Here is a 20,618-nt window from a genome sequence, read left to right on the forward strand (position 1 = left end):
GTGCGAATGAACCCCTGTGAACGGTTGACTAGATGAGTAATCTGATTGACTGGCTCCCTCAGTCCTATTCTGTAGCCTTTTTGGATAAAATTGGGTTTTAACATACCTCGAGTCCAACTAATCTCATTAAACAAATATTCTCCATGGGCCTGTCTAGTAGATTAATGGATCTGGTTGGCCGTTTGCTGCGTCTAGGGGTGTTCTATGTAGCGCAGCAGTTCGCAGCGATTGCGCAGTGCGATGCTGTTAGGTTGCGCAAGCGATGTTTGCGCTCGCATTACAGGGACCTCAACCTAGGTGCAATCCTGTCATGTGAGGTTTCAGCTTCAGTCCTCCTTGGGAGACGGGGCATTGTGAGAATGTAACTTAAAGCCTGGCTTTATGATATCCTACTTGGCAGAAAGACATTTTTCTCCTCAGTAGCATAGTTTTGATGTTAGTGAGGAACATTGTTGAAGAGCAGCATTTCCCAAAATGTGTTTCATAGTATTCTAATAAAATGCCCAATGAAAGAAGAGTTCCATGGTCAACTAAGTTCAGGGAACCCTGTTACACTATTAAAGGCTTAGGGAAGTCCAGTAAAGAAACCTATTTTCCGAATTTATTTGATCATGAACTCCTTTTTTTTTCAGCCATACCTCTTAACACCTCATAGAACACACTTTGGGAAACAGTGGGGGTAGGAAAACTCGGCCTCAAGTTGCGCCCTCTAGGTAGCACTTGAAAACATGACAAGGGCCCGTAGTTGTTTGGATAAGAGAACTCCAGCATAGAGCCTTATAGCAACTGACTTCCCAGTTAAGTCCCAGTGTAAGGGTTGGTCTTTGGTTGGCAGAACTGAACATGGTGGTTTGCACTTGGGTTCTGGTGGCGCAGGCGCAGGAGCAGCCAGCTGTGGCAGCGCATTAGTTTTGGCGCAAGCGAGCCTATGCTGCAGGGTCACTTTTGGCTGGTCAGAGAAGGAATAATGATATCACCTTCTTCCCCCCCTCCCCCCAATCTTTTTTTTTTCCCTTTACAAATTTTCCCCTTTCCCTTTACCTCCTTTCCCTCCCATCTTCTTTCATTAACCCCTCCTAAGGCATGTTATTTGAAAGCAATTGAGACGCAACCGAACTTTGCAGTAGCTTGGAGTAATCTTGGCTGTGTTTTCAATGCACAAGGGGAAATTTGGCTTGCAATTCATCACTTTGAAAAGGTTAGTCATTAAATTAATAATTGGTATTTTTGAAGTGCTTACGCATGTAGTGTTTTTACTAGAACTAAATAATAGGTCTTAGCCAGTGACATTATATCTTTGTTTCTCTGGCGGTATAGGCAGTATGTGACTTACAGAGAACAATGATTTGACTTAAATATTTTTTCAACTTGACAATGGTGCAAAAGACATACATATTCAATAGAAATCATACTTCGAGTACCCATGCAGCCATTCTGGTTTTCCCTTTCAGTACAAGATTCAGTAAATTACATGAGATGCCCAACACACTATTATAAAATAAGAAGGAGGCTGAGGCAGGAGGATCACTTGAGCCCAGGAGTTTGAGGCTGCAGTGAGCTGTGACCATGCCACTGTACTTAGCCTGAGTGACAGAGTGAGACCCTGTCTCTAAGATTAAAAAATAAAAAGGTACCATAAAGACACATGCATGCGTATGTTCATCACTTCACAATAGCAAAGACATGGAATCAACCTAGATGCCCATCAACGGTGGGCTAAAGAAAATGTACATATATGCCATGGAATACCATGTAGCCATCAAAAATGAAATCATGTCCTTTGCAGCAACATGGATGCAGCTGGAGTTTATTATCTTAAGTGAATTAATGCAGGAACAGAAAACCAAATATTGCATGTTCTCACAAGTGGGAGCTAAGCATTGGGTACACATGGACACAAAGGGGAACAATAGACAGTGGGGCTTACTTGAGGGTGGAGGGTGGGAGGAGTGTGAGGGTACAAAAACTACTTACCAGGTACTATGTTCACTACCTGAGTGACAAAATCATTTGTATACCAAATTGCTGTGACACAATTTACCCATTTAACAAACCTGCATGTGTACCCCAAACCTAAAATAAATGTTGGAATTAAAATAAAACTCATATTAAAGTTTTAAAAAAGGGCTTTGTATTAGGTAATTTTACCTAAACGTAGGCTAATGTGTTCTGAGCATGTTTAAAATGAGACTAGCCGGGCCAGGTGTGATAGCTCACATCTGTGATCCCAGTGCTTTGGGAGGCCGAGGCGGGCAGATTGCTTGAGCTTAGGAGTTGAAAACCAGCCTGGACAACATAACGAGACCCTGTCTCTACAAAAATGAGCTGGGTGTGGCAGTGTGCTCCTGTAGTCCCAGCCATTTGTAGGGCTGAGGTGGGAGGATTGCTTGGGCCTGGGAGCTGGAGGTTGCAGTGAACCAAGATTGCACCACTGCACTCCAGCCTGGGTGACAAAGTGAGGCCCTGTCTCAAAAAAAAAAAAAAAAAAAAAAAAAAAATTAGGCTAAGCTAGGATGTTCACTAAGTGTTACAGATGCATTTTGACTTAAGATATTTTCAACTTATGATGGGTGTATCGGGACATAACCCCATCCTAAGTTGAGAAACATCTTTATTGCAGCATTTGCTGGATAGTACATGGTATGGCAGTTTCCAATTTTGTGTTGAAAATGTACTTTAGGCTGCGTGCTGTGGCTCACACCTGTAATCCAGCACTTTGCGAGGCTGAGGTGGGAGGATTGCTTGAGCCTAGTAGTTTGAGACCAGCCTGGGCAACATAGTAAGACCCTGTCTCTACAAAAAATACAAAAAGTAGCTATGCGTGGTGACACACACACAGCTACTGGGGAGGCTGAGATGGGAGTTTGAGTCTGCAGTGAGCTGTGATCATGCAACTGCACTCCAGCCTGGGTGATGGTGTGAGACCCTGTCTCAAAAAAAATGTACTTTAGTAATTAAAAATGATTTTTATAAATGGGCTTTAAAGAAGCAGGGCTTCTTGGTGAAAAGGCAGATTCCAGGTCTGGGGCAGGAATTTAAAAAAAATTTTTGGAATGTCTTGTCATACCAGAAAGCAAGGAAGCTTTGACATATTACTTTGCATCAAAAGGACTCAGGAAGCAACTTGAGGAGGCTCCCACTGGCTAAAGATGCAGACTTGAGCATCAATAGGAATAATAACTGAAATATACTAAAACTTATCAAGTATGTTTAAATCTATGAGCTTATAATTATGCTAAAAAATTCATTGGTCATCTTTGGAAGACTTACAAGGAACAATTAATTTGGAAAACTGGTTAAAAAGAGAAGAATAAAGTTTTTGAGGAACCTCTATACTAGTTCCCAAAATGGCTGTGCCAATTTATACTTCCCCCATCAGTTACAAGGCTTCCCTTTCTTTACATCCTCACTAACACTTGTTATTATTCGTCCTTTTGATGATAGCTATACTAACAAGTGTGAGATGCTAACTCATGGTTTTATTTTGCATTTCCTTGATGATTAGTGATGTTGAGCATATTTTTTATATATCTGCTTGCCATTTGTTTTTTTTGTTTTGTTTTGTTTTGTTTTTTTGAGATGAGGTCCTGCTCTGTTGCCCAGGCTGGAGTGCAGTGGCGCCATAATAGCTCACTGCAACCTCGAACTCCTGGGCTCAAGTGATCCTCCCACCTTGGTCTCCCCAAGTGATAGGATTACAGACATGAGCCACTGTGTCTGGCCTGTACCTCTTCTTTTGAGAAATGTCTGTTTAGATCCTTTGCCCGTATTTTAATGGGCGTATTTGCTACTGAGTTGAGCTTCTTAACCCTTTATCAGTTGTATAGTTTGCAAATGCTTTCTCCTAATCCGGGGTTGCCTATTCACTCTGTGTAATTGTTTCCTTTACTGTGCAGAAGCTTTTTAGTTTGATGCAATCTCATTGCATATTTTTGCTTTTGTTATCTGTGCTTTATGCTAAGTGAAATAAACCAGGCACAGAAAGTAGATACTGTATTATGTCACCTATTTGTGGAATCTAAAAAAGTTGATTTCATAGAAACAGAGAGTAGAAGGGTGGTGAGGCTTGGGGGGGTGGAGGAGGGATGGGGAAAAGGGAGATATTGATCAAAGTTTCAGTTAGACTGGAGGAATAAGTTTTAGTGATCTGTAGTACTGCATGGTGACCACAGTTGTTAATAATGTATATTTCAAAATTGCAAAAAGAATAGGTTTTTAATGTCCTCAACCACAAAAAAATAAGTTAGTGAGGTGATGGCTATGTTAATTAGCTTGGTTGACTCTTTCTAAAATGTATACGTGGATCAAACCATCACATTGTATGCCATAAATATACACAATTATATATCAACTTTAAATTTAAAAATTAAAAGAATAAAGCATATGTCTTCCCTCTCCTGTATGAACTAGACCATAGAGTAACCCAATAGTTGATGGGGGAAGCTTTTCTTTATAAAAGCATTCTAGCTAATAAGTGAAGAAGGAATGATAGAATATCACCATTAATAGTGAAAGCATTTATTAGGCCGGGCTTGGTGGCTCACGCCTGTAATCCCAGCACTTCGGGAGGCCATGGCAGGTGGATCACCTGAGGTCAGGAGTTCGAGACCAGCCTGGCCAACATGGCAAAACCCCATCTCTACTAAAAATACAAAAATTAGCCAGGCATGGTAGCAGGAGCCTGTAATCCCAGCTACTCAGGAGGCGGAGGCAGGAGAATCTCTTGAACCTGGGAGGTGGAGGTTGCAGTGAGCTGAGATTGCACCATTGCATTCCAGCCTGGGCGACAGAGCAAGACTCCATCTCAAAAAATAAAAAAAAAGTTAAAGCATTTATCAGTGACAAAAACGAGATACAATCAGGTATTAAGTACCTTGTGGTAAACAATTTCACCAGTGAAGTAGTCTTGCACAAAGAGAAAAGAACACAAACCTAATTAAGCTTCTGGTTCTACCTACCAATTTACAGGAGATATACACGGGACAGGAAACATGTTAAAGGACACCATAGGGATGCAGTCAGCAAAATTCAAACTTTGGGAAGCTGACCTTCTTACTTCAACAAATTGTAATAAAAATGGAGATTTAAATTAAACTTTTAGGCCGGGTGCGGTAGCTCACCCCTGTAATCTCAGCACTTTGGGAGGCTGAGGCGAGTGGATCACTTGAGGTCAGGAGTTCGAGACCAGCCTGGCCAACATGGTGCAACCCCATCTCTACTCAAAATACAAAAGAAAAAAAAAACAGCTGGGTGCGGTGCGGTGGCGTGTGCCTGTAATCCCAGCTACTTAGGAGGCTGAGGCAGGAGAATTGCCTGAACCCGGGAGGAGGAGGAGGTTGCGGTGAGCCAAGATCGTGCCACTGCACTCCAGCCTGGGCGACAGAGTGAGTGACACTCCGTCTCCAAAAATAAATAATGAGTGACACTCCGTCTCCAAAAATAAATAAATAAACACACAAACTTTTAAAGGATTAAAAGAAACTCAGAGAGGCACATTGACAAATTATATCTGTCTTATTTGGATCCTGACTCAGTTAATGAGAAATTGGAGCACTGAATGGATTTTTTTTTTTTTTTTTTTGAGACAGGGTCTCACTTGATCGCCCAGGCTGAAGTGCAGTGGTGTGATCTTGGCTCACTGCAACCTTCACCTCCCAGGCTCAAGGGATTCACTTGCCTCAGCCTCCGGAGTAGGTGGGACTACAGGCGTGCGCCATCATGCCCGGCTAGCTTTTTGTATTTTTAGTGGAGACAGGGCTTTGCCATGTTCCCAGGTCTTGAACTCCTGAGCTCAGGCAGTCTGCCTGCCTCGGCCTCTCAAAGTGCTAGGATTACAGGCATGAGCCACCACGCCCAGCTGATATTTAATATGAAGGAATTGCTGTCTTTTTTTTTTTTTTTTCTGTTAGGTATGATAATGGTATTGTGGTTAGGTTGGGAGGAAAAAGCATTCTTGTGTTGTCCCTGAGATACATATTGAAGTATTTTTGAATGGAATATGTCTGGGCTTTGCTTCAAAATGATCTGCGAAGAGGGGGAGTAAGTTGGAGTATAGATTAAATAAGATCAAACATGATATATGAATTGTTGAAAATGGATAATGGAGACTTGGACGTAATGTTCCTCTGCTTTTGTATATGTTTAAACATTTCTATTATAAAGTTTAAAAGTTCTTGGGGTGGACATCTATCACTATAGACAATCTAAATTAAATGCATCATGCCGTGTTTACTACAGAGTTGTCATCTAAGTGAAGATGAAGTGTTCTTTCTTTATTTTTTTTTGAGACAGAGTCTCGCTCTGTCGCCCAGGCTGGAGTGCAGTGGCACGATCTCAGCTCACTGCAGCTTCCGCCTCCCAGGTTCAAGCAATTCTCCTGCCTCGGCCTCCTGAGTAGCTGGGATTACAGGCGTGAGCCACCATGCCCGGCTAATTTTTTGTATTTTTTAGTAGAGACGGGGTTTCGCCATGTTGGCCAGGGTGGTCTTGAACTCCGGGCCTCAAGTGATCTGCCCGCCTTGGCCTCCCAAAGTGCTGGGATTACAGGCATGAGCCACCGCGCCCAGCAGATGAAGTGTTCTTTATCAGTCTTTAATAAACATACAATTACTCAGTGTCTTAATCAAATACCTTTTCGGTGTGTGTGTTTTTTTTTGTTTTTGTTTTTTGTTTTTGGAGACACAGTCTTGCTCTGTTGCCCAGGCTGGAGTGCAGTGGCGCAATCTTGGCTCACTGTAACCTCTGCCTCTCGGGTTCAAGCCATTCTCATGCCTCAGCCTCTCGAGTAGCTGGGACTACAGTTGCACATCACCATGCCCAGGTAATTTTTGTATTTTTAGTAGAGATGGGGTTTCACCATGTTGGCCAGGCTGGTCTTGAACTCCTGACCTCAAGTGGTCCGACCTCGGCCTCCCAAAGTACTGGGATTACATGTGTGAGCCACTGCACCTGGCCGGTGTTTTGATTGAAGTTTGCATTTACCATGCTGTAGGAGTATCTTTCTTGATCAGTGTTTCTCTTCCTTGGTTATACATGAGGAGCTTATAAAAGATCTGAATATCCTGACCCTATCTTCAGAGGGTCTGATTTAACTGGCCTGTGATAGAGCCTCGGTACCTTTTCTAGGAGGTAAATTCTTAATATATTGCCAAGGTTGAGAATCACTGCTCTAGACAACATGACAGCTATTTGGATGACACCGTGTAATGGTTAGTATTTCCTTGAAGTATTGTATCTTACTGTGTATACAGCTCTAATTGCATGTCTTAATAAGGTCTTGCTGAGCATGTAGTTTGTATGCATACAACTGAGGTATATATTTACCTTTTCAGTAAGAGTTTGCTGCCTCTTTTGCCACTATTTTTCAGAAGAGTTAGACTGGTTAATTGTGAATAAAATAGGGCCAATCATTAGAAGTGTTCAGTTTAATGAAATTGGAGCAGGCCCAATATTTAATTTTTCTCTTCAGGACCCATTTTGCTCATGAGAACATGAGGCATGAGAAGTTATTTTGATAATGTTGAGGTTTGTAAAAATAATGAGAAGACACTAAATAAATAATTGGTTTATTAAAATGAAATGTAATTGAAAGTCTGCAAGGACCTTGGAGTAAAAAAATTGTAATTGGGAAGTTGATCTGGTGAAATCCTAACTTGCTCTGAGTAACTAACTGTCTTGAAATTTTTAGGCTGTCACCCTTGACCCAAACTTTCTGGATGCTTATATCAATTTAGGAAATGTCTTGAAAGAGGCACGCATTTTTGACAGGTGAGAGAATGTTCTGTTTAATAAATTTTCTTGAATCTTTGTTGTATTGACACTTGACAGTTTGGACCGAAATGATGACAATAGTCCATTGAAGCATATTTGCCTTTTCTAGCACGTTGTTCTCTGCCCATGTCCTGTGTTGCCTTTTATTTATAGATGTTGTTCGTTGCCTGACTTTTTGTTGTTGGCTTTCCTCAAAGCCGTTATCCTTCTCATTGGGAGTTTAGTTGAAATTTTTTTATTGTTAAAATGGTTGAAATGATTCTTTCTTAGACTAAATTATTCCTTTGACCTGATTTTAGAAAGCAAAGTAAATCCAGACTTTTAAATTTTTTGTTGTTGTCAAAGGAAAGCCTATTTTTTATGTGGGAGTAGAAAACTTCCCAGTGTAAAGACACATTTTATAAAGGTGTGATTTTGGTTTGAGGTTAAAATATAATACAGCATGAATTATGTAATTAATTACAATTACTTGATATATTTTGATATAGTACAGCTTGAATGAGTTGTAACAAACCATCCATTAAGCATGAGTTACATTTTGTGTGTGTGTGTGTGTGTGTGTGTGTGTGTGTGTGTGTGTGTGTTTATTTACAGAGCTGTGGCAGCTTATCTTCGTGCCCTAAGTTTGAGTCCAAATCACGCAGTGGTGCACGGCAACCTGGCTTGTGTATACTATGAGCAAGGCCTGATAGATCTGGCAATAGACACCTACAGGCGGGCTATCGAACTACAACCACATTTCCCTGATGCTTACTGCAACCTAGCCAATGCTCTCAAAGAGAAGGGCAGTGTAAGGATTTTTACTCATTCTATTTGTTATCTGGTAGGATTAAGAGTCTTTTCTGGCCAGGTGTGGTGGCTCACACTTGTAATGCCAGCACTTCGGGAGGCCGAGATCAGAGGATTGCTTGAGCTTAGGGTTTCGAGACCAGCCTAGGCAACATGACGAAACCCTGTCTCTACAAGAAATACAAAAATTAGCCGGGCATGGTGGCACACACCTGTAGTCCCAGCTCCTTGGGAGGCCGAGGTGGGAGGATCGATTGAGTCCTGGGAGGTTGAGGCTGCAGTGGGCCATGATTGTGCCACAGCACTCCAGCCTGGGCAACAGAGCACGAGACTCTGTCTCAAAAAAATCACAAAAACCAAAAAACAGCAAAAAAGGAAAGTCTTTTGTACAAGTATTGAGATGGTATATTGGTTTACTTTAGAGTTTTGGTTGAGGGTAAGAATACCAAAAAATATCAATTTTCTGTAGCATTACCAGCCATTAGGCTTAATTAAACAATTATTAGAACAGTATCAGTGGAGGCTTTATGATTCTGTACAGTTTTTGAAGACTTTGTTTTGTTTTCTAGGTTGCTGAAGCAGAAGATTGTTATAATACAGCTCTCCGTCTGTGTCCCACCCATGCAGACTCTCTGAATAACCTAGCCAATATCAAACGAGAACAGGGAAACATTGAAGAGGCAGTTCGCTTGTATCGTAAAGCATTAGAAGTATGTGAGGGTGGTGTAGCTGGGCATTTAGCATGATAGTAGAGGGAAAGCAGTTAAGTTTACCATCATCCACCTCTTTTGTAAAAATAGTGGTTGAATCATTTACAAGAGGATTATTCATTGAAGTAACAATTGAGTACCTAAGGTATGATGTGAGGCCCTATGTGACATTCCAGAAAATCCCTGCATTCAGAGTTCATTATTCTGTGGATAAGATCTGTACAAAAAAATTAAACATTAACCCACAGTTCAAGAGAAGTTACTTATAAGTATATAATCTTAGTGCCTGATGGCTGTATGGTAGTGGTTAGTAGATGTGGTAGGAGTTTAGCAGAGAGAGATTTCAGTGGTGTTGGAGTGGTCAGGATAAACTAAGAGGAGAAGAGGTGTACCTCATTATGTTTGAAACAAGAAGAGGTATAAAATAGAGGAAGAGGTAGAATTTGAGAATGAATAGACTTGGAAAAAGTAGAGACAAATTTAGGGGTTTAAATGTACTTGAGCAAAGTTCTTAAGGTTGTGGTGAATTATTACTGCTGCTTTAGCAATTTTTTTAACCTCAGTTCTGATCTTGACTCTTTATAGGTCTTCCCAGAGTTTGCTGCTGCCCATTCAAATTTAGCAAGTGTACTGCAGCAGCAGGGAAAACTGCAGGAAGCTCTGATGCATTATAAGGAGGCTATTCGGTAAGAGACACTAACAGCCTTATTTTTAAAATTATTTTTAATTTTAAAATGTTTGACATTCGGCACATTGCAGATGCTAAAATGGCTTTAAATAACAACGGAATAAGTTAGCATTACAGTGGGTTAAAGATTTTTGTATTGGAGAAATAAAACCTTTGGCTTCTCTTTTAGAATCAGTCCTACCTTTGCTGATGCCTACTCTAATATGGGAAACACTCTAAAGGAGATGCAGGATGTTCAGGGAGCCTTGCAGTGTTATACGCGTGCCATCCAAATTAATCCTGCATTTGCAGATGCACATAGCAATCTGGCTTCCATTCATAAGGTACTACTGTTTATTATAATATGTGCAGTTTAACACCTAAAATTTAACTTTTGGAAATTTTTTACCATCCTGCTTTATTTATTTTCCAGGATTCAGGGAATATTCCAGAAGCCATAGCTTCTTACCGCACGGCTCTGAAACTTAAGCCTGATTTTCCTGATGCTTATTGTAACTTGGCTCATTGCCTGCAGGTAAAGAATAACAGGCCAGTAATTGGCTCTCAGTGTTGTAATAGCTTTTTAATTGTTGTATGCCATAAGAATCCAAGCCTGACTGGAAATAGTATTTTTAATAGGCTATCTGACATTACTTTAGGCCAAAGACATATCAAATATTAAATCCTGGGATAGGACTTTCTGGATAATAACTTGTTTTTGCTTTCTCTAGATTGTCTGTGATTGGACAGACTATGATGAGCGAATGAAGAAGTTGGTCAGTATTGTGGCTGACCAGTTAGAGAAGAATAGGTTGCCTTCTGTGCATCCTCATCATAGTATGCTATATCCTCTTTCTCATGGCTTCAGGAAGGCTATTGCTGAGAGGCACGGCAACCTGTGCTTAGATAAGGTGTGATTCTTTTGTTTTAATCTTTTTGTTGTAAACTAAAACACAAATACAGAAAACTGTAAAAATCAAATCTGTGGCTTAATGAACGATTATAAAGTGAACACCACCCAAGTCGAGAAATAAAACTTTTGTGGGCCACTTCAGAACCCCTTCCATTGTGTCCTGAGTATAACCCCCTGCACTTCATAAGACGGAATCCTTAACTCCTTCACTTAAACACTAATGATAGACTGATGGTACTTTTCTTTAAGTTGAAAGCCATAATTTTTTTTTCTTTTATCTTTTTTTTCTTTTTTTTTTGAGACGGGGTCTTGCTCTGTCGCCCAGGCTGGAGTGCAGCGGTGTGATCATGGCTTACTGCAGCCTTGACCTCCCCGAGCTTAGGTGATCCTCCCACCTCAGCCTCCTGAGTAGCTGGGACTACAGGCGCATGCCACCACACCTAATTTTGTGTTTTTTGTAGAGATGGGGTTTTGCTATGTTGCCCAAGCTGGTCTTGAACCTCTGGGCTCAAGTGATCTGCCCACCTCGCCCGGCCAAAGTGCTGGGATTACGGGTGTGAGCCACCGCGCCTGGCCAGCCATCATGTTTAATGGAGTGCTTGGTATTTTGTATTCACCTTTGAGAATTAGAGCAGTACTTGATCAAGGATTGGATCAAAGGTTGGATAATAGATTGGAGTGCTAGGTGTACTTTTTTTTTTTTTTTGAGACATAGTGTCTCTGTCATCCAGACTGCAGTGCAGTGGTGCCATCTCAGCTCATTGCAACCTCTGTCTCCCAGGTTAAAGTGATGCTCGTGCCTTAGCTTCCCGAGGAGCTAGGATTACAGGCGTGTGCCACCACGCCTGGCTAATTTTTGTATTTTTAGTAGAGATAGGGCTTTGCCATGCTAGGCTGGTCTCGAAATCCTGACCTCAGGTGATCCACCTGCCTCAGCCTCCCAAAGTGCTGGGATTACAGGCATGAGCCACTGCCCCCAGCCATAATTTTGTTTTTAGAAAATGTTTCCCTATAGAATTTTCTAAAATGCGGGAGGAAACCATGCTCTGTCCATACTGCTTCATACCTACAAGTGTTAGATTTGCTCGTACTTTTTTTTTTTTTTTTTTTTTTTTTTGAGACAGGGTCTTGCTCTGTTGCCCAGGCTGGAGTGCAGTGGCACAACCTTGGCTTACTGCAACCTCCACCTCCCAGGTTTGGGCGATTCTCCCACCTCAGCCTCCCAGGTAGCTGGGACTACAAGCATGTGCCACCACGCCCAGCTAATTTTTTTTTTTTTTTTTTTTTTAGTAGAGATTGGATTTCACTGTGTTGGCCAGGCTGGTCTCGAACTCCTGACCTCAAGCGATCCACCTCCTTGGCTTCCCAGAGCGCTGGGATTTGCTCATGCTTTATAGATCTCAGGAGCAGGTCAAAGTATGAAGCATATTACATAAAGTGCTGAGGTTGCATCTCTCTGGCAATATTAACTAAATGCTCTGGGCAGACCTTTTTCAACAGGTGTGAGGTATAGGTTTGGTGTGTTTTTCGTCAGTTTTCCTAGATGAAAATTTATGTAGATTTTACTAACAAGCATTGGATTCTGTTGATAGATTAATGTTCTTCATAAACCACCATATGAACATCCAAAAGACTTGAAGCTCAGTGATGGTCGGCTGCGTGTAGGATATGTGAGTTCCGACTTTGGGAATCATCCTACTTCTCACCTTATGCAGTCTATTCCAGGCATGCACAATCCTGATAAATTTGAGGTAAGACTAGTGTTTCTCTAGAATCACTATTTGTTTAAAAAAGAAAAAACCCACAATGTTGGCTTGTCACCATGAGGCATGGAAACCTAGTGTCTTTTGGAAAGATTTGAGCCAGAAAGATTTGAGCCAATGTTATTAAATATGCCATGTGCTGCCTTTCAGGTGTTCTGTTATGCCCTGAGCCCAGACGATGGCACAAACTTCCGAGTGAAGGTGATGGCAGAAGCCAATCATTTCATTGATCTTTCTCAGGTAGATGAAACTCTCATACTTTAACTTTTTATTTTGAGCAAGTTTAAATAAAACTATTAGCATATAGTTTATTTTTGATGATAAGTATTAAATGCTGTAGTACCACATATAGGCAATTGTGTTGATCTTATTTCCTTGATCATTTGTGTTAATCAGCATGGCTTTTTCCGAGGTTGCAAATGAAACTGAAATGTGTTATGCTTGTGCTTGGACATACAACTTTTCTGGAGATTGAGCCAGCACTTGTGACAGAAGATACTTAATAAATATTGACAAAATGGTGACTTGGGAGAAGAATAAATAGGTCTTTTAAAGAAAATAGGGCCGGGTGTGGTGACTCATGCCTGTAATCCCAGCACTTTGGGAGGTCGAGGCGGGCAGATCATGAGGTCAGGAGATGAGACCATCTTGACTAACATGGTGAAACCCCGTCTCTACTAAAATACAAAAAATTAGCTGGGTGTGGTGGTGCATTCCTGTAATCCCCGCTACTTGGGAGGCTGAGGCAGGGGAATCGCTTGAACCCGGGAGGCGGAGGTTGCAGTAAGCTGAGATCGCACCACTGCACTCCAGCCTGGCAAGAGCAAGACTCTGTCTCAAAAAAAAAAAAAAAAAAAGAAAAAATAGATGAACTATGGTTCATCAGTTTCCATGGGCCTTTGCCTTTGGTTATCTTTATTTCTGTACTTGTTCTATTGTTGTATCCTCTAGGAGAGTAAGTTTTATGATAAATTAAGATTGAAACCTATGGGGGAATTAATTTGCTGAGTATGTAGGCTACAGTGTTTTCTTTGTAGACTCTATTAGCCACTTTGACTAATAGAGATAATATACTCTTTATATGTGTGTGTACACACATGTATGTATGTACATACACATGCAGGTATGATATGTATGCATATATGTATAAATATACATGTGTATGTGTATATATATATGAATCACTGAAGTCCTAGCAGAAAGGTTTTGAGACTTCTCATTTAATAAATAGTATGTACTAACAAATTTTGCAGTATAGCTGTTGCTTCAAAAGTATACCTGGCCATTTTTGATACACAGTTGGACTCTTTGTGACCAAGAAGCATACCTCTTTCTACCTCTGAGACCTTTAGGGACTCACTGCTGATTGATTGCAGTCTAAACTCTTCAGCATAGCTTTTGTAACCTTTCTCTGTTTGCCACAACTTTGTCAATACTTTAACTCACCATTCAACATCTTGTATACCCTATACTAAATAGAAGTGAATTACTCACCCTTTTTTTTTTTGAGATGGAGTTTTGCTCTTGTCGCCCAGGGTGGAATGCAGTGGCACGATCTCGGCTCACTGCAATCTTTGCCTCCCAGGTTCAAGCGATTCTCTTGCCTCAGCCTCCCGAGTAGCTGGGATTACAGGCGCCTGCCACCACACCCGGCTAATTTTTGTATTTTTAGTAGAGACGGGGTCTCACCACATTGGCCAGGCTGGTCTCGAACTCCTGACCTCAGGTGATCCACCTGCCTCGGCCTCCCAAAGGGCTGGGATTACAGATGTGAGCCACCATGCCCGGCCTACTCACCATTTTCTAAACTCCCTCACACTTTACTCTAGTTCTTCATTCATACTGTTCTCTACTGAGATTGTATTCTGTTAAACTCCTTCAAACTCCTATTCGTCTTTGAAGACCTATTTTCAAATACCAATTCTAGGCTGGGTGCTGTGGCTCACGTGTATAATCCTTTGGGAGGCTGAGGTGGAAGGATTGCTTGAGACCATCATGGGCAACATAGTGAGACCCCATCCCTACCAAAAAAAAAAAAAAGATTACAAATTTCAAATACCAATTTCTCTGTGATATGTTGTTATTCATACATTCAATCCAGAAGTGAACTCTCCTTCCTTTGTGTTCTGTTTCTTTAATGCTTTGGGCCCATTTTAATGACAGTCAACCATATTTGTGCCCGAATTAATGTAGTTAATTTGTGTTCTTACCTCTTTTCCATCTGGGAATCTGAATTATGTTAAATGCCATTAAAACTAAATGCCATTAAAACTAAATGTCATTAAAACTAATTGATCTGAGATTATACATAGTGAGTTCTTATTTTGTATTCTGTAGATTCCATGCAATGGAAAAGCAGCTGATCGCATCCATCAGGATGGAATTCATATCCTTGTAAATATGAATGGCTATACTAAGGGCGCTCGAAATGAGCTTTTTGCTCTCAGGCCAGCTCCTATTCAGGTAAACAAATTAACAGTCATCACTTATAACATGTATTTGGCTAAGAATACAGTGAGGTGCTGCTTTTCCTCCCTCTGGTTAACTGATATTTGAAACTGTAGGGCAGACATACTTTTAATTTTTTTAAGTTGTTGAAATGCACAGGACAAAAAGAGTGTAGAGCACAGTGCTTATAGGTACATGTATATAGAGACATGCAATTCATGGTTGGCTATGAACAGTTACTCTGTCTTGCAAATTTGAAGAACATTTTAGCATTTTGAAAGTTAGTCTGAAATACAGGCCGGGTATGGTGGCTCACGCCTGTAATCCCAGCACTTTGGGATGCTTAGGCAGGAGGATCTCTTGAAACCAGGAGTTTGAGTCCTGCCTGGGCAACAAAGCAAAACACCCTATCTCTACAAAAAATTAAAAAATTAGCCAGAGTGGTGGTGTGCCTCTGTGATCCCAGCTATTTGGGAGGCTAAGGTGGAAGGATTGCTTAAGCTTAGGAGTTTGAGGCTGCAGTGAACTATCACTATGCCACTGCACTCCAGCCCAGGTGACAGAGTAAGAGTCTCTCTTATAGAACTGCTTCATTGCTTTCGGCTAAAGAAGTCAGCCTTGCTGTGCGTGTGGCAAGTGCCTGTAATCCTGGCTACTCTGGAGGCTGAGGCAGAAGGATTGCTTGAGCCCAGGAGTTTGAGGCTGTAGTGATCTACGATTGCACCACTGTATTCCAGCCTAGGGAACAGAGTGAGATCCTGTCTCTAAAAAAGAGTTAGACCTCCTTGTTTATTTACTTATTTAATTTTGGCACCTTTAGGTTCTTTTTTTAAAAACCACTTTATTGAGGTACAGTTGACATACAAAAAGTTGTACATATTTAATGTATGTGACTTGATGAATTTAGAGGTAAGTGTACTGATAAAAGTTCTTAATCAGTTTTTGATCTGATTTTTTTAAGGCAATGTGGCTGGGATACCCTGGGACGAGTGGTGCGCTTTTCATGGATTATATTATCACTGATCAGGAAACTTCGCCAGCTGAAGTTGCTGAGCAGTATTCCGAGAAATTGGCTTATATGCCCCACACTTTTTTTATTGGTGATCATGCTAATATGTTCCCTCACCTGAAGGTAGGTATGAAACAGTGCTATGGACGAATTTCAAAGAACTGTAGCTTTTTATTTCCTTGCTATTGTCTATGTAAATCCTAAAAGACATGTCTGAAACTATTTTTTCCATTAGAAAAAAGCAGTCATCGATTTTAAGTCCAATGGGCACATTTATGACAATCGGATAGTTCTGAATGGCATCGACCTCAAAGCATTTCTTGATAGTCTACCAGATGTGAAAATTGTCAAGGTCAGAACCTAGTCAGTATTGTCATTGAAATAAAGTTAACTGCATTCACGATCTTTTCCCTAATGATGCATTTTTTTTTCAGATGAAGTGTCCTGATGGAGGAGACAATGCAGATAGCAGTAACACAGCTCTTAATATGCCTGTTATTCCTATGAATACTATTGCAGAAGCAGTTATTGAAATGATTAACCGAGGACAGATTCAAATAACAATTAATGGATTCAGTATTAGCAATGGACTGGCAACTACTCAGGTGAGAAGATAATAATACACCATTATATGTCCCGCCAAGTATGCATTTATTTCCCTTAACCTCATGATAACTCTAGGAGGCAAGTATCATTATCACCATTTTTATGGATGAGGAAATGAGTTTAGTGGAAACGTGCATCTTATATAGGTGTGTCTGATTTTAAAAGTCTCCTGGATTCAGCCAGCAGATTATTACTTACTGAGAAACTGCTGTGTTAATATCTTGTTATTCCCTGCCTGTGGCTTTACTCTCTTACATGATGAACTATGTGTAGATTCCATACAGTTTCTTGCTTCTGTAAACCCATCCTTTCCCTAGCTAAATCCTACTCAAACGTTCAGTTCAGACAGCTCTTCCAGGAATCCATTTCCGTACTTACCGCTAACGTCTCCATCCCTACTTCATTGGTACCTGTCTTTTATACCTCTGTAATGTTTGGAATATATCATTACATACAGCACAACAGATGATAATTCCCTGTGTTTGTATCCTCTACTGAATTGAATTACTGAGCCCATGTCTTAATCACAGTAATGTAGTATGTACTCAATAAATAATATATTGCATGCTTAAATAAGTAGCTCTATCAAGAGAGTGTAAGGCAAAGATCTCTGACCTCTAGAGGTCATAGATGTCCTTGCACACCTGGAATAGTTATATAACAATGTAAGGCAGTACTCAAATGTGTGAGAATTACAAGATGAAACTAATTATGTATGTAGAAGCTCAGAAACGGTGAGGATCAATGTGAAGAGAGACACTCTTGGGAGAAGAGACCATTTGGAGGAGTAATTTAGCCTTGAAGAGTAGATGTGATTTAGAAAAGGACATTTCATTCATGAAGAAAAGAGTGATCAAAAGCTGTTGGAACGTTAATAGGATTTTGAGACCTTTTTTGGTTAGAGCAAGAAGTTTCATAGTGCAGTCTCCCCCAACTTAAGATAATGCTGCAACGGTTTGCCTTTTCTTAAACTTCATATATCATGAATATTTTCTCATGGTTCAGTGACTTTTAATGGTTATACCATTTTGGATCTTATGGATTGAAATATTGGACTCCTTTTGCCTTTAAATATAACCATCATTTTTTTCTTGTTCTAGATCAACAATAAGGCTGCAACTGGAGAGGAGGTTCCCCGTACCATTATTGTAACCACCCGTTCTCAGTACGGGTTACCAGAAGATGCCATCGTATACTGTAACTTTAATCAGTTGTATAAAATTGACCCTTCTACTTTGCAGATGTGGGCAAACGTGAGTATGCAAGTATGTTAGAGACTAATAAAGATTTTGTATCTAGAGCTTCTTGCTGAAGATGGTCCTTCCACTCCCATTTAGGAGCTGTTCTGCTCATTTCTTTTTAAAATTTTTTTTTGGCTGGGTGCAGTGGCTCACGCCTGTAATCCCAGCACTTTGGGAGGCTGATGCGGGTGGATCACCTGAGGTCAGGAGCTTGAGACCAGCCTGACCAACATTGCAAAACCCCGTCTCTATTAAAAATACCAAAAAATTAGCCGGACATGGTGGTAGGCACCTGTAATCCCAGCTACTCGGGAGGCTGAGACAGGAGAATCACTTGAACCCGGGAGGTGGAGGTTGCAGTGAGCCAAGATCGTGCCATTGCACTCCAGACTGGGCAACAAGAGCAAACCTCCATCTCAAAAAAATTTTTTTTAAAAATACTTTTTAAAAAATTTATTTTATTTATTTACATGTGACTCAACTGGGTTATGCCCTTTTTTTAAAAAACAGAATCTCACTCTGTTGTTCGGGCTGCAGTGTAGTGGTGTGATCTTGGCTCATGGCAACCTTTGCATCCCAGGTTCGAGTTATTCTTGTGCCTCAGCCTTCCAAGTAGCTGGGATTACAGGCATGTGCCACCATGTCTGGGTAATTTTTTTTTGTATTTTTAGTAGACGGGGTTTCACCATGTTGGCTAGGCTGGCCTCCAACTCCTGGCCTCAAGAGATCTGCCCGCCTTGGCCTCCCAAAATGCTAGGATGACATGTGTGAGCCACCGCACCTGGCCTTGTGCTCATTTATAATCTTCAAGAGATGTAGATTTTTCAGGCATTTTTGGTTTCTCCTTCCAGTGTCTAAATATGACATTGTGAACCTTTTAAATTTACATATTCAAAGCATTCTTCTGTCTAAAGGGTCAGCAAACTTTTTCTTAAAGGGCCAGATGGTAAATATTTTCAGTTTTGTGGTCCATGCTGTTTCACGTCTACTCAGCTTTGCCGTTGTAGCACGAAAATAACCATAGGCATTTTGTAAATGATGAGTGTGGCTGTGTTCCAATAAAATTTTATTTATACGAACTGGCAGTATGCCAGATTTGGCTCACAGGCTGTGTAGTTCGCCAACTCCTGGTCTAAACTGATAGCATATGCTGTCATGTACATCCACCCATTTTTAACATTCTTGTAGTATTGTAGAGTTATAACCAAGAAGGAGTCGATCTGTACATATGATTATCTCTCAGTTCATCAGACAAGTTTGCATAAGTGGGATATCGGATAGCTATAACTGGCTCTTAATCCATAGAACTAAAATAAAATGGCATGTTTTACCTTTAGGTAATCTGGAGATAATTCCTTGGTTAATTTTTTCCCCGATATCTGTTTTGTTTTATGTTTAGAGGAGAGGGGAGGATAGAAGAGAAGAGGAAGCAGATGAGTACAGGTCTACTGTCCTTAATCCTTACTTCCTGATGTTCACAAAAACTCTGAAAATCAAAAGCTTTTTCATAAGTGTGTGGCAAATTTGTTTGGCAGCAAAACTACCTGAACTAACATTAGGGTATATATTAGTCCGTTTTCATGCTGCTATAAAGGACTGCCCGAGACTGGGTAATTTATAAAGGAAAGAGGTTTAATTGACTCACAGTTCCGCGTGGCTATGGAGGCCTCAGGAAACTTAGAGTTACGGCGGAAAAGGGAGCAAACATGTCCTTCTTCGCGTGATGGCAGGAAGAAGGGCTGAGCCAAAGCGGGGAAAGCCCCTTATAAAGCCATCCGATCTTGTGAGAACTCACTCTCTATCACAAGAACAGCAGCATTGGAAATAACTGTCCATGATTCAATTACCTACCACTGGGTCCCTCCCATGACACATGGGGCTTATGGGAACTGCAGTTCAAGAAGAGAGATTTGGGTGGGGGACACAGTCAAACTATGTCAGGGTATTTGTAGTCTTTTATTTATTTCATTTAGTATGACTGTTCCTGCATCTCAATGCAGAGGTACTAATATGTTTATAGGAAGTTGCTGCTGAGGGTGTTAATGTGATACATACACACACAGTACTACTTTTTTAAAATCTGAAATATTCTGAATTTGGAAATTCATCTGTTCTCATAGCTTTCAGAGAAAGGGATTTTGAACTTACATGGTACATAGAGTAGATGTAAATCTAAATCAGGAGTTGGCAAACTATGACCTGTGGGTCAAATCCAGCCCACTGCTTGTTTTTGTAAATAAAACTTAATGGACACATAGCTATGCCTACTTGTTTACACATTGTCTGTGGCTGCTTTCAAGCTACAGCAGAAGAACTGAGCAGCTATGACAGTCCATGTGGCCACAGAACCAAAAATATTTGCTATCTGGCCCTTTACAGAAAAGACCGATTTATATTAGGCAAAGAAAGTTAGGCAAGTGTGAGGTAACTTTCTTGGTTGTATCATAGTGGGGGATTTGAAATTTGGAATGCAAAATTCCTCTCTCAGCAAAACCCACTGCCTGTGTCAATTCCCGCAGGAGGTAGCTGCCTCAGATTTTGCCTGTCTTTCTTTGAACTCACTTTGAGGACAGCTAAGCAGAAGAGGGATAATTCAATTGATCTCATTCATCTCTGTGAAGGAAAGACTTAAGTCCACAGCAGGCTTCTATCTGGATGGAAAGAATAGAGTGTGGTAGAATTATTAGAGACCTCTGGGAGTC

The 20,618-nt window shown here is 40.8% G+C and overlaps 1 protein-coding gene across 2 annotated transcripts in view; it reads left to right on the plus strand.

Annotated features, from left to right (window-relative positions):
- The window catches only part of OGT (O-linked N-acetylglucosamine (GlcNAc) transferase), a 42,789-nt gene that overhangs the window by 13,722 nt on the left and 8,449 nt on the right, over window positions 1-20,618 (plus strand). For both annotated transcript variants that reach the window (NM_181672.3, NM_181673.3), the window contains exons 5-19: window positions 1,082-1,198; window positions 7,688-7,767; window positions 8,365-8,560; window positions 9,129-9,269; window positions 9,855-9,955; window positions 10,127-10,280; window positions 10,370-10,471; window positions 10,668-10,847; window positions 12,442-12,600; window positions 12,763-12,852; window positions 14,950-15,075; window positions 16,022-16,192; window positions 16,305-16,421; window positions 16,504-16,674; window positions 17,776-17,928. In NM_181672.3, the coding sequence (NP_858058.1) occupies window positions 1,082-1,198; window positions 7,688-7,767; window positions 8,365-8,560; window positions 9,129-9,269; window positions 9,855-9,955; window positions 10,127-10,280; window positions 10,370-10,471; window positions 10,668-10,847; window positions 12,442-12,600; window positions 12,763-12,852; window positions 14,950-15,075; window positions 16,022-16,192; window positions 16,305-16,421; window positions 16,504-16,674; window positions 17,776-17,928 (2,058 nt within the window). The remainder of the gene's footprint in view (window positions 1-1,081; window positions 1,199-7,687; window positions 7,768-8,364; window positions 8,561-9,128; window positions 9,270-9,854; window positions 9,956-10,126; window positions 10,281-10,369; window positions 10,472-10,667; window positions 10,848-12,441; window positions 12,601-12,762; window positions 12,853-14,949; window positions 15,076-16,021; window positions 16,193-16,304; window positions 16,422-16,503; window positions 16,675-17,775; window positions 17,929-20,618) is intronic.

Source organism: Homo sapiens, chromosome X (genome assembly GCF_000001405.40).
Source record: "Homo sapiens chromosome X, GRCh38.p14 Primary Assembly".
Lineage (NCBI taxonomy): Eukaryota > Metazoa > Chordata > Mammalia > Primates > Hominidae > Homo > Homo sapiens.